The 14143-nt window shown below is 35.9% G+C and overlaps 1 protein-coding gene across 4 annotated transcripts in view; it reads right to left on the bottom strand.

Moving 5' to 3' along the window:
* The window catches only part of HMCN1 (hemicentin 1), a 456559-nt gene that overhangs the window by 76706 nt on the left and 365710 nt on the right, over window positions 1–14143 (bottom strand). For all 4 annotated transcript variants that reach the window (NM_031935.3, XM_011510038.4, XM_017002437.2 and 1 more), the window contains 5 exons: window positions 10576–10772; window positions 7279–7360; window positions 5647–5783; window positions 1291–1432; window positions 121–265 (listed from right to left, as the gene is read on the bottom strand). In NM_031935.3, coding sequence (NP_114141.2) covers window positions 121–265; window positions 1291–1432; window positions 5647–5783; window positions 7279–7360; window positions 10576–10772 — 703 coding nt within the window. The remainder of the gene's footprint in view (window positions 1–120; window positions 266–1290; window positions 1433–5646; window positions 5784–7278; window positions 7361–10575; window positions 10773–14143) is intronic.

Raw genomic sequence — 14143 nt, 5'->3', positions numbered from 1 at the left:
TCGTATTAAGATGAAATGCTGATTCTAAACATAATGAGACCAAAATAGTGCACTAGGAAAAAAAATTAAGAATTTGTATTTCAGGTCTTATAGCATTTTTTAATTTTCCAGTATGGTTACCTTGCATGATTCCCAGCTAGAACAGCTCCATCCTTTCTCCATGTTATCCTTGGAGTTGGCACACCTTCAGCGATGCATTCCAATACAGTTGACTTATTTAAAAGAATTACAAGGCTCTGGGGGCCCCCCTTTATGTTTGGAGGAACTGAACAAGAGATACACATGAAAAAATTCAGTGAGACTAAATAATACAGCCTGCATGAAGACCCTGAAGATGTAATATAAGATGAGCTTCGAGTCAAATGTATAGCTTTGTCTACAAGAATCTAGGTTAGTATAAGTAGAATTGAGGTTTAATTCCTAAAGTCTTACTCAAGATACTTTGTGTTTAAAAATAAAGGGTAGATAGGGAGGGGAATTTTAAATCCCTAATATGGTGTATGAAATCTGGCTTACTGTGAGAGAGGCTTAAATGAAACTCAGCTCTAGTCTGATGCAAATTAAAGATGATATTTCTTATTTCTCTTTGGCCAAATAATGGTCAGAGAATGCTAACACTGGAACAGCTTCACTTTAAATGAAGAACAGAAAGTGGGCTGTTTTAACAAAAAGCACATCTGTGATTAATCATGTAATTCTCAGAGCATGCATTTTATTGATCATTGAGTTCATATGGGAATAGACAGCCTGAATTTTAATTTTAGTATTAGAGATATTAGTTGTTTGGGTCACCCAATATTCTGTAAAATTTTATATATTAAATATCCAATAGATTGTTTTGAGGAAAAGTCTATATTATCTTCCTAGATGTTGGCATTCAGCTATTATACTTAATAAGATTACAGTCCTATGACAGTCTCTGTTTGGCACATATGTACTCTCAAGCCACCATCAATAAAGGTGAACTAAATGATGGGCCATTTGTCATCCAGTGATTTAGTGTATTGACTTCCTCAATGGTTCTGATTCTGAATGACAGAAAACATCATGATATGCTAAGAACAATTGGACATATTCTCTAAGATAGAGTAAAATATCTCTAGTTATGTTTTTTGGAAATTGAGTTAATTTGCAGTATAGATATAATACAAATACTCCACGTTGCCTTTTTCAAAAGCAGTAAGATAAGCACAAGGCTTCATTTAGTATGCTCATAAGAAAAAGCTATCATCTCTTTGAATGCCCTTGGTCAGATTTTTAAATTGTGGAACAATGAATACCTTTTCTTACCATTTACAGTGAGAATAAATTCTCTTGTAGTCTTTCCTGCAATGTTGCTGGCAACACAGGTATAATTGGCTGTATCACCTAGGTCAGCATTGTTGATTTGCAAGTATCTCCCTCCAGATAGGATTCGCACTCGAGGTGTTGCCTGGATTCAGCAAGTAAAGAAATTTGCCGTTAAAATGTCAGGAAAAGAGAATAAATATTATTTCACAGCATCAAAAGTAAGTATAGTGAACTGTGGACCTGCTGTCTGTCAGCATGCTTTGTCTGCTCCTCCACCATTTTCGTAGTATCAAAAATCCCTGGGAACTGTTTTAATGAGTGATGTTAAGTCAAAGGCAGAGGCAGTATGCCCAATTGCTCTGACAATAATGATCCATTCAAGAATGGGCAGGTGACTCAATCAGGCCTACCAGAGTCCTCCTCTAGACTCTGCTGGGAGTGTCGGGGAAAGGGTGTGCCCTTTTTCCTAGAATCACAGGTTGTGAGGATGACCTAAGCCTAGTGGCAGTCTTATCATGTGGAAACAGGCTGTCCTGAATCTAAGGCAATGCAAATAGAGTTCATTCAGATAAAGGACAGATGCCTCATTATAGAGTTAGAGCCTCTGGAAATTCATCAATTATTGTAGCCAATAAATTTCCTTTTTGTTTTTCCTTTTCATTTAAGTTGGTTTGAATTTGAATTCTGTCACTTACAACTGAAAGGTTGCTGACTAACTTTGGTTAACTTAGAGGAAAACATTGTACTCTAACATTTAAAAAAAATAAGCAAATAAACCACCACAAATATTTCTTAAGAATTTATTTTGTAACTAGGCATAGACAAAAATTATGAAAATAGAGCACAATGAAACCTAATCTCTGCTATTAAGTCTAATTGGAGAGCTACATATATAAACAAGTAATTTAAGGATAAAATATATGATCATAGTTATTAAAAAATTCCAGATAGCATCAAAGATTGATATTCTCTCATTGTACCTAAGATGAAGCATTTCAGGAATAGCCCAAATAAGATTTCTCTACCGTATGAGCTTGGTCCCAGATACATATATCTTTCTAAGAAAACATTGTTCAAAGTAAAATATGCAGTTCAGGTCCATTTATTTTAAAAGTTTACACATTTTCTCTATTCCTTTCATTTCTATTGGGGCTATTAGTGATAAAATTATGTTACCTTTGATGAGAATAAGTGATTTCTTAAGTATGTATAGTAAGTTCTATAAAAAATATTTTATTTTTTAACTTTTATATGGGTATAGCAGAGTTTTAGGCTAATAAAAACTTTCAGAGTGATTCTTTTTTTCTTAAGAGACAGATTCTTATTCTGTCACCCATGCCGCAGTAGTGGTGCTATCGTAGTTTACTCTAATCTCAAAATCCTGGGCTCAAGCAATCCTCCCACATCAGTCTCCTCAGTAGCTACAACTACAGATGTGTGCCACCATGCCCAGCTAACTTTTTTTTAAATTCAGGTGGGGTCTTGCTCTGTTGCCCAGGCTGGTCTTGAACCCTTGTCCTTAAGCAATCCTCCTGCCTTGGCCTTCCGAAGTGCTGGGATTACAGCACGAACCACCACACCTGGCTCAGAGTGATTCTTATAATGTTTTTCTTCCATGAATATCAGTACTTTCTGCTAACTTATTAAGTCTCATTAGAATTTTCTCTGGTTTTGGCCGGGCGCGGTGGCTCACGCCTGTAATCCCAGCACTTTGGGAGGCTGAGGCGGGTGGATCACGAGGTCAGGAGATCGAGACCATCCTGGCTAACATGGTGAAACCCCGTCTCTATTAAAAAATACAAAAAAGTAGCCGGGCCTGGTGGTGGGTGCCTGTAGTCCCAGCTACTTGGGAGGCTGAGGCAGGAGAATGGCGTGAACCCAGGAGGCGGAGCTTGCAGTGAGCCGAGATCGCGCCACTGCATGCCAACCTGGGCGACAGAGCGAGACTCCGTCTCAAAAAAAAAAAAAAAAAAAAAGAATTTTCTCTGGTTTTTCTTCCGTAGACCACCTATAATTCTTCCAAATTTGACTTGTCTCCTGATAGAACCTCATTCTTAGCTGATAATCTCACTTCCTGTTCCACTGAGAAAATTAAAGCCCCACACCTGCAGTCCTCCCCTTCCCCCACCTTGGGTATGAATACGACCTTCTTTTCTGTTTCCCCATCTCTGCAGAAAATGGATGACCCTTCTGGACAAGGCTAACCTATTCAACTGTGTCCTGGGTCTCATACCTCCCCTATCCAACATAACGTGTCCTATAAACTGCTCTTTCTCTCTCCTCTGTCTCCAATCTCTTTCTTTCAGCAAATACACATACAGAAATCTTTAAAGAACAGTTCATGCTTGTTTCTACTTCCTCTTCTTCGATTAACTTCCCAAACAACTGTAACCTGCCTTCTACTTTGATCACTCTTTGAAGAACCATTCCTCAGGTCTTTAATTACCTATATGTATTGCCAAAGCTAATGGATACAACTTTATTTGTACCTTCTGTGGCCTTTGTTAACCACCGCCCCCTCCACTTTTCCTTGGCTTTTAGTACACCGGTGTCTCCTACTTTTAATCCTATTTCTGAGTCCTCCTTCTCAGTCTCATGCATCTTCTTTTTTTCCTATGCTCACCTCATAATTGTTACCATTGCCTAAAGCTTTATTTTCACTTAACTGGGACTCTTATACTCTGCTTTCTAGTCAACCTCCTACAAACTTATGACTTCAACAAGAGATTATACCATGATGATTACATCAAAGGCCGCTTTTTTTTAAAGTAAATATGGACCATGAAACCAAAGCCTTTTTTGATGAAATACGGGCCAATATTTTAAAATGATTTCTACAATCTCTTCTTGGAAAATACAGGTAATTCAAATTCAAAATGTCTAAACCTGAACTCATCTTTTTTTCATTTTTCATCACAAGTGAACTTACCCTTTCCTAGGATTGACATCACTTGGTCAACCTGGGATCAACCTAGACTCCTCCATCATCAACATTCACTCAGTTTTTACCTTTACACCTAATGGTCTGGAGTGAAATGCACACATGGGAGATCAGACTATGGAGGCAAAGTCAGAGCATGAAAGGGCTTGTGAGCTAAGTTGAGTGATTTAACCAGAATCCTGAAATCTATGGGGAACCATCAAAGATTTTAACCAGGTTCTATTTCAGGTATACCAAGCTACTTGCAGTTCTCAGACCAGCAGCCTTCCTTTTCCTGTAATAGCTTTGTACATGCCATTACCTGTGATTGGAATCACTTTCTTCTCTGGCCTCACCCAGTATATACTGATCCTTTAAAACTGAGCTCATCTTTTCTAAGAGGCTTCCATGGGCTGTTCCTTACCCTTTAGTCTGGATTATTTGCTTCTCATCTCTGTTTCTACACATCCTTCTAATATACAATTTACTAGTGGCGTTCATTCTATAATCTTTGACTAACCTGTCTTCTCAGATAGTGAGTGAGCTCTTTGAGGTAAAGCCTATTTTCAGTAGCAATCATAGCACCTGGCATTCTAGTAGGCACACAATAAATAGAGAAACTGAAGTACTGGAGGGTTAAGTGATATGCATGATGATTTAGCATGTTAGTAACTCTCAGAACCTGGCCTCTCCATGTTTGGTGTTTGTGTGGTTTGGTGGTGGTGGTAGTCTTTATGTCTTAGGTGTTAGGGGACATAATCTCCTTTTTATAATTAACTACTAGAAACAAAGTGTAGGTTACAATAAGAGGATGAGGAAGAACGAAGAAGAAAAAAATAATGAGGATAATCCAAAACATTCAAAGTCAAAGCTTTCAGTGGTCTCTAAAAGGCTGCTGAGGATCCTGGCCTTTGACGCTGTATGACAGCAGGTAGGTATCATCTAAGCATGGCAAGCTTTATACAGCCAGTAACTGGTTCTTCACGGATTCCAGTCTCAGATGCCTGGTATCTTTGGGGTCACTTGTAAGGTCCAAGCTTAGACAAGGGAAATTCAGTAAAAGAAGCATTCTCCCTAGAGACGTGGAAGTTATTTTGAGACTTTGATGGTTTCTTCTCTTTTAAGAAATAGCTGAGTATTTCAAATCAAACTTTAATGCATGGGCGCTAGGAAATACAAACTTTGGCAAATTTCCAGAGCATCATGAATCTAGATACCTTTCTTTGACCCATGACCAACTATTAACTACCCCAGCAAAGGCAAATAATAAAGCAAATAATAAAGCTAATTTAAAAACCCTGTGCTTACTGCTGCAATGTTGAATAATTAGTAGCCTGATGTTAGTTGGTTTTGTGTACCCAGCAAAGGCCCTAGAGCTGATTTTTTTACTTTTTTCATCTCAAAAAGGAATTTGTGGAGCTTATCAAAAAATTTACCTGTAACCGTTCTCCATTTCTGAGCCAAGTAATTACAGGTGGGGGCACTGCATCTGACTTGCATTCCAATGTCACTTGTCTGTTCCGTAACACAGTGATATCCCGGGGCTCATCAGTTCCAGCAATATTAGGAGGTACTGGGTGTGAGAACAAATACAACAAAAGCAATCTGTATTATCATAGGTATCCAAAAAATGTTGGTTCTGCTATATGAAATAATAAGAGGCATAAAATTAAAACATTACTCATTTAATTTATAGCCTAGATAATTACAAACAGTGGGAAGTGTTTTTTTTTTAACCTTATTTAGCAATTTCATGTACACTAAGTAAAGAAATCCTTCCAACAACTACATGCATGATGGAAGTAATATAATTGCATTATTTTCACCATTTGATAGTAAAGAAATGGAGGCACAAAGAAGGGAGCCGTTGTCCGGGTTATACACTTGGTAGTAATTTTCTCTGAACATAAGATTTAAAAATTACTAAATCAGGGAGTGCCCATCATAATATACAGACTGTATTTTTCATGTGACTTTTTTTTTTTTTTTTTTTTTTTTACAGAATTTACGTGTCAATTAATTTGTATGTGGGATGATGGGGGCACTTAAATCCCAGACAGTTTGCGCTGCCTAGTCATTTAGGCTATGAGAATGAACCAAAGATCTTCTGTTAGTTTTTTAATTATTCCTCCCCATAAAGAATAATTCCTATTTCAATGTCAAAAGCATATTGGACGAGTCTAACTGGCCCAACTCTTCTAGGAAGTAATTTGACAATTAGTTTCAAAATCCTTAGAAGAGTGAGTGTGTTTGTATGTGTGTGTGTGTGTGTAACCAAGCAAGTGCACTTACAGAAATTTCTCAAAATAAAGGGAATGGGCTAACATGTGCATGCAAAGTTATCCATAGCAGGGCTGTTTATATTGGTAAAAATATAGAAATAGCCTAAACCTCCAAAAATATGGAGTAAAATGGGATACTATACAGTCACTAAAAATGTTTTTAAAATGTATTTCTTGACATGAAAATGTTCACCAAACCATTGAGATAAAAGCAAGTTAAATTCTATAGGTACACTATATAAACATGCATTTTCTATCATCATATTTTTGTGACAAAACATTTATATGCAAAAAAGTCTTTGTGTGATGAGATTCTGGATTTTTAAATTTTCTTCATCATAGTTTATATTCTATTATTTTAAACCAATGAATACAAATTATTAATGCAGAAACTAATCAAATAACTCAAAAACAATCCATGAACTGCCCCCCAACAGCGTTTGATTAGTCAAATATAAGAATCAGATTTGCACCCTGTCTCAACCAAAAATACAAAAAATTAGCCGGGCGTGGTGGCAGGCACCTGTAGTCCCAGCTACTCAGGAGGCTGAGGCAGGAGAATGGCGTGAACCCAGGAGGCGGAGCTTGCAGTGAGCCGAGATAGTGCCACTGCACTCCAGCCTGGGCGACAAAGCGAGACTCCGTCTCAAAAAAAAAAAGATTCAGATTTGCAAAATATATATTCCCTAACTTATAAACATATCCTGTGATGTGCTGTGGTGTTGTCCCAGGGTTTTCTAATTAGGTGTGTGTATGATAGACTGTAGGATATTTTGTCAAATTTACCATGCACTCTCACTAGATATTCCTTATCATCATCTCCTGCAGGACTGGATGCCAGACATGTATATCTTCCTGTATCCTCCACCTACAAAACCCAAATAATGAATTACATAATGTTAACATGTTAGCTTTTGTTATTAAAATAAATATCCACTAGAATGAATGTAAATAACCCCACACCAAAAGCAAGATAATTAAAGCCAACTGTTTAACACTACGATTAGCACTCTGATAGAAAGCATTGTTTGGTATCTACATTATATGCAAACCTATGTTTTAACAGGATTTTGGTATCGATTTAAGAATGTTTGTACGTTAAGTATATTTAATGATATCTAAAAAGGCAGATATATATAGGACCTAGAACCATATGTGATAGGCTATATCCTCAATGTTCATTGAAGAAACAAATATTCATGGGTTTAAATTGCAGACTGAAAAGTTAAAACGAAGCCTTTCTCAAGAAAATAAGATGTTAAATAAGTAAACAGATAAACAAAATATCTGGTTATTAAAATCAAACACATAATATCTCATCTTGACTCTACATTTTATATACATGGTGAAACAAAACAGTTATGTTATGTAATATGAGAAATAGGGTCAGACTGACAGCAGGATCTATAATTATCTAACTAAAACCAAAATCATTACTTTAAAAATCACCAAGCATGGTTTCCATGGAAAGTTAATGTTCATTCATATGTTTGAGATTGTGTAGACACAACCCATGATCGTGTACATGTAGAGGGTACTCTGGAAAACAGATGCTCTTACTACTGCGAAAAATGTATTTTGGAAAAACAGAAAAATCCTGTTCTCATTTATTTTACTACTTGAACATTCCCAGAATATTGGCATTTTAAAAACTCTTACATTCAAACTGACTTTAGAGGTTATGGAAACACTTTTTGGTAGGCTGCAAAAACTCCTTTCAAAAACATTGAGACTAGAATGTTTGGAAAAATACTTAAATATAATTTTAGAAGAACAACACTTACATCGTTATTCAATTAAGAATTTTAAAATGATGTGCCATTTCCTAAGAATAATTTCTGAATTTCTCATCATATCTTTAAAATCTCTAAAACTAACTCTTCTCTCCCAACTCTGTTCATTCACAATTGATATCATCCCCCTCACTTGTCTGGACTCAGCCAAACTTGAACCATCATTCAGGACTATTCTTAAATGTTCCCTTTTCCACAAAATATTTCCTGACAACTTCTGCCCTTCTGGCTACCCACAGACATCACCTGTAGTTAGTTTCTAAAGTCTTGTTTTACTAATAGAATGTTAGAAAAATTATAGTTAAGCATGTATCTTTAGAGGAAGATTTTGCAGAGGTGGACATGCATTATGGCTCACAAAGAAAAGGAGGGTACAGTATATAAAGTTTTCCAAATCTATTAGTCATAGAGTGGTCCCCTCCCCTCTTGGGATAAATTACAGAACTAGTGTTTGATAAAAGATGTTTTAGGAAACTCTTGTCTATACCACACAATTCGCAATTTGCAAAGCATCCACATCCATAATGTACCAGGCATAAGTAGATGTTGCAGATAAATACACGAAAAAACAAAGTTGAGATAAGCAAAATATAATGCAGTAAGAGTTACTACAGAAGTATATACAAATTGCTATGAAAACATAAAGGAGCAGAGTAACCAAAATCAGTCTGGGGGCTTAATGATATTTAATTTTCCACTTCCATATTGTTTTTAATGTTTCTATTATTGACTCATATCTAATTGTATCTTATGTATACAGTCATTTTTCTCCCCTAGACATCTAGAAACTTCTTGAAGGCTGACACATGTCACATATCTTAGGTCTTATGGATTCTCCACAATAGCTAGAACACATGGTAAATCTGGCCATCATTTAACACTCTATGACACCTTCATCTTGTTTTCTTATAACTCGACTTTTTGTTCTTGCCTTTAAGACCTACAGTAATGGCCTTAACTTCCCTTTCAAGCTTTATTTGTCATTTTTTTTATATTCATGATTCTATTCCACATACTTTTCTGTCTCCATGCTATTCCTAATGTCACAAATTCTTTTGCCTACTTTTTGTTTGTTGAAATTATATCATTCAAGAGTTTTGATTCAATACATGGTTTTAGTTTAACCTGACTCTAAGTTACTGTAATGTTTGAAATGGAGAGAAAAAAGGGGAATGGAAGGTATGCACTCGAAGATGCTAGAAATGCACTGTGCTGAGATGCACTGGCTAGGCTTCTGAATCAGACTAAGGATTGAGGCCTAGCTCCATCACTGAGCAGCAATGAGTACTTGGCAGATAAGTACTTAATCTCTCTGCACCTGATTTTGGATTTGTGGGATAGACACATTGCCTCACAGAGTTGCCATGAGGGGAATGGGTGGGATAGATAGCACAGAGATGAACACAACAGGACATAGTAGAGAGTTTATAACTCTTAGCTCTTTTCTTCCAGTTCCCTTTCTTCCATTCTCAGTGAAAAATGCAACAAAATATGATCAAATAATTTGTTATTCTACATTCAGAGGAATGATGATTATGGTAACAACAGCAACAGCAGGAACAATCCTAAGTCTTTTTTTGAAAGCATTTACTACATGCCTGTGGCACCAGTCTAAGCACATCATGTTGGATTATTTCTTTAAATCCCTCAGTGTATGAATGAGGCATGATTATTACTTTTATCCCCAGTTTATAAATGATGGCATTAGGGCTCAGATGGAGAATAATTGTAACATAAGGTTTGCCTTTACTAGTAGAATAGAAGATTGCTACAATAAGACATCCCAGACATACTTCTCTTTTAATATATTCACATTTCAGATCAGTTTTCTTAAACATAAACTAAACCAAGTCAATTTTATTAAACTGATCATTATTTGAAAAATTGTGTCTCTTCAGACTTCCATATCGGCTAGTTCATTTTGGAGATCAAAAGTGCTCTTTGAAACCTTATATATATGCATGTTGGATTGCTTTTTGCCAGTTCCATTAAGGGGTACATAGTATAAATTAAGAACTTTGGGAAATATACTAACACTTATAGCACTGTGAAAACTTGCAAAAGTTAATGGAAAGGTATCTTGCTTTCTTCGGAGTTTAATATGATACTGCTTTGTCTTCCTTTTAATCAAGTTACCCAATCATGCATATCATAGGACTAATCCATCCTGCTCCAGTTACACAGATCTGTGATATATAAGGATTCAAAGACATAATTTAACAAATCTCATATATTAGCAAGTGAGAAGTTTGACCTAACCTAAAATAATTCTATGAACTTTGACACTTACCTGAGCAGTAGAAATTCGAAGAACCTCTCCTCCTCCTAGAGTTTGCACTTGATCCGTCTGTGGAAGGGGCCGGCCATCTTTCATCCAGGTCATTTTAGGGGCTGGGATTCCAGAAGCAATGCAGGTAAGTTCAAGTGGGTTATTAACAATTACTGATATCTCTTCATGTTCTTCAGATCCATTAATGTGAGGTGGTTCTATTTAAAGGGAATCAAAAATAATAATAAACCCACAGTTTCATAAAATATTGCTCGTTAGAAAAACTTGAAAATCCAACACAAATTCACATTCACATGATAAAAATTGATTAGAACAAGGAAAGTGAAATAATTCCTAGATGTCATTACCATTTCTCATTGACACACTTTCAAAAGGGATGGATCATGCCTATGAGAGATAATGAAGTAAATGGCAATTCATTACCATGCAATTATTGAACAACAGTTCAAACTCAGTTAATTAGAACAGTCTCACTTGACTGAAAGATTTGAAAACAATAAAAACCAAACGCAGCTTGTACCACTTTTTTTTTTAGAGGGACTTAGCATATTATTATGTTTTTGTATCTTTAAATACCAATAGTTTCTACAAAAACAATGCGTGAATACTGTGGAATTTTGCTATCATCTTTTCCATGCAGAACTTTGAGAGGAAACAATGACTAAGCAGAAGAAAAAATAGTTACATTTGGAGATAATTTCTGTATAAAACACATTTGTTATGTCTGGATGGGAGTAACTTCCTCTTTTGTTACTTATACTTCTAAAATTACCTTTCTCAAGAGAAGGTCAAACAATCTAAACACTGGGAAGAAACATTTAAGGTTCTTTAGTCTAACTACTCCCAACTTTGGTAATTCCTTTAAAACACATTCCCCTTATGATGACCATTTGCGTTTTCTATGACACTTTCATAGTTCAAGTTTCCAGCTTACTATTTGACAAGGCAGCCAAAATAGCTGTTGGACAGCGCCAGGGGTTAGCAGGTTTGTTTTTCTTTCTTTTTTCTTTAATAAGGCACATAGTTTAGAACAGTGACTCATAGCAGAAGATCTGGAGTCTGAGTTTTAATGCTGGTGTCAACAATTATTAGTTTCATGGATTTGAGCAAATCTCTAAAATGGGGATACCAACATTATTTACCTAATAGGATCAGTGTGTGGCGTCAGTGAGATACATTATACACTTTTTTGTGTGTTTCTGTATCTATTTTACAATTAAAGGTTTTAAAAAACTTATTACTACTACAGTGTTTACTGCAACTGTTGGTATTATTAAAATCTGCTTCCTAAAATTTCTACCATCTGTTAGTCTCTGTTTTCCTTCTGGAGAAAGATAATATACTAAGTCAGTTCTCCTTCTTAGATTATAATGAAGTCAGCATTTCTACACCACTGTCCCACATGACCTCTTTTTACTTCTATCTATCTTACATATTGCTGTCAAAATACATTTTCTGAAGTGCAGTTTAATATTAATCTAAGATTTTCTGCTTAAAAGATTTTAATGGCTCCATGTTGCTTACTGGATTAAATAAAAACTCATCATGGTTTCCAAGACTTCCACAATATGGTCTAGATCTATCTTTGTCATTATTTAATTTTAACATACTTATATGTAACCTAGACTTCAAATCTCTCAACAAGCTTCGTCCTTTCTTGCTCCTCATAGTCCCGCAACTGAGAATGCCCAAGTACCATCACGGTTACATTGTCCTCAAGTTCATTTGTGAAAACTATAAATCATTTATTGATTCTCTGAACTAATTATAAAATGTCTATGCTTTTTCATTTTCGTATCAAGTTGTTTGTACTACTCAAAACACTTATCTAATTCCTGGTTTGCCATAGTCAATTATTTACTCCTCTTACTTCTCGGTTATTTAGTATATGTCAATCATCATGAATACAAAGATTAATAAGGCATGCTCACTGCCCCCACCCCAAAGTTTATAATCACTGGATTTAAAATAGTAGCAGCAGTAACAGTATTAACATGCTCTTGTGTAGTTCAAACCCCAGACTGTCCAGATCTTACCTGTGTTAAGTGATTGTGAACTATTTTACTCTGTGTTTTGTCCATATGTCTTGTACTTCGGGCAGAGTAAGAGTTGTCTATACTCCAATAACTCCAGAATTTATATTTCCAGCCTAGACTCTCTTCTGAGCTCCAGATTCATAAATGCAATTATCAAATAAACATCTCCATTTGGATGTTTGAAAATCACTTAAAACTCAACATGTATTCAGACTGAACCTATTGCCTTATTTCTCAAAACTTGTTTTTTTCCAGTATTTTCTGCATCTAAGTGATGAATTTACCAATTAGTCACATAAGCCAGAAACTAAGAGTCATGCTTGATACCTTCTTCATCACTCCCTTGTGTCCCAGTCTACAACCAAGTCCTAATACTTCCACTGTACTTATTTCCAGAATACACCTTTTTCTCTCATCTCCCTCACTCTAATTTGAGCTACAATACCATTTACTTAATGTTTTTTTTTTCTTCCTAGTTGTAGGTGCCTACCCAAAATTACTGATTTCTTTCTGATTAACAGACTCAAATTTTGTTGGGATTGTCAATGTGCTAAACAAATTACATTTCCTAGCCTCTTTAGCAGAGAGTAGATGGAGTGGATGGAGTGGTATATGACAATTCTGACCAATGAGATGTAGGTGGATGTGGTTTTGTGGGGCTTGTAAGAAAGTCTTAATTCTTTTCTAAAGGGGCAACACTTTGCCCTTCCTAGTTTCCTGCTCTATTGTTGCATCTAGAACAGCATCTAGTTATGCTAGGGGTGAGCAGATACTGCATTGATCACCAAACAACCATGTTGTAAAGGTTCAAAAGAACTGAAAATATTTGAACTGCTGAACCAATCCAACAACTGCCTACCTCCAGCCATCCCAGTGAGAAAAACAGAAGTACTGTGTTTAACCCACCATATTTCAACTCTGTAATTCACAGCCAAACACAATTCCTTATACTGGTCTCTCGGAATCCATTCTTGTCCTGGTCCAAGTAGCCTTGCATTTTATAGCCAGAGTGCTCTTCTCAAACTGTAGTTCTATTTGTTATTCCGTTTTTAGAACTTTGAATGATTTCTCATTGTTACAGGATAAAAAGCAGACTTCTTAATGTGGTCAAAAAAGTGCTCTATGACCTGGCCCTATGAAAACCCCCTATTTTGTAATATGCTGTCCCTTGTTTTCAGTGGTCTAGCCACACTGGACTTTTCAGAACCACTATACCATGATACCTCCCACCACATGGATAGAATTAAATAAAGAATATTTCCCCAAGTTAAGATGTTTGCATTCTGAGTGGTAGCACTGCTTCAAGTGAAGAACTTTTCAGAGTTTAATGGAATTAATTTTCAACATATGCTGAAATGCTAAAACTTCTCATCTTTCTTCTAAGCCAGTTTTCAAATCTGTTTTGAGAAATTATTATTCTTATAAACTCTTCAACTTTATTAAAGGCAGGCTGTTCTTTAAGAATTCCACTAAGAATATCATTGTTGTTTTTCTCCTTCATTTTCTTCATCCAGAAATGCACCAGTCTGTGA

The sequence above is a fragment of the Homo sapiens genome, chromosome 1, assembly GCF_000001405.40.
Source record: "Homo sapiens chromosome 1, GRCh38.p14 Primary Assembly".
NCBI classification, from domain to species: domain Eukaryota; kingdom Metazoa; phylum Chordata; class Mammalia; order Primates; family Hominidae; genus Homo; species Homo sapiens.
The sequence above is the reverse complement of the archived record's forward strand: the minus strand, read 5'-3'. Positions and strand labels throughout refer to the sequence as shown.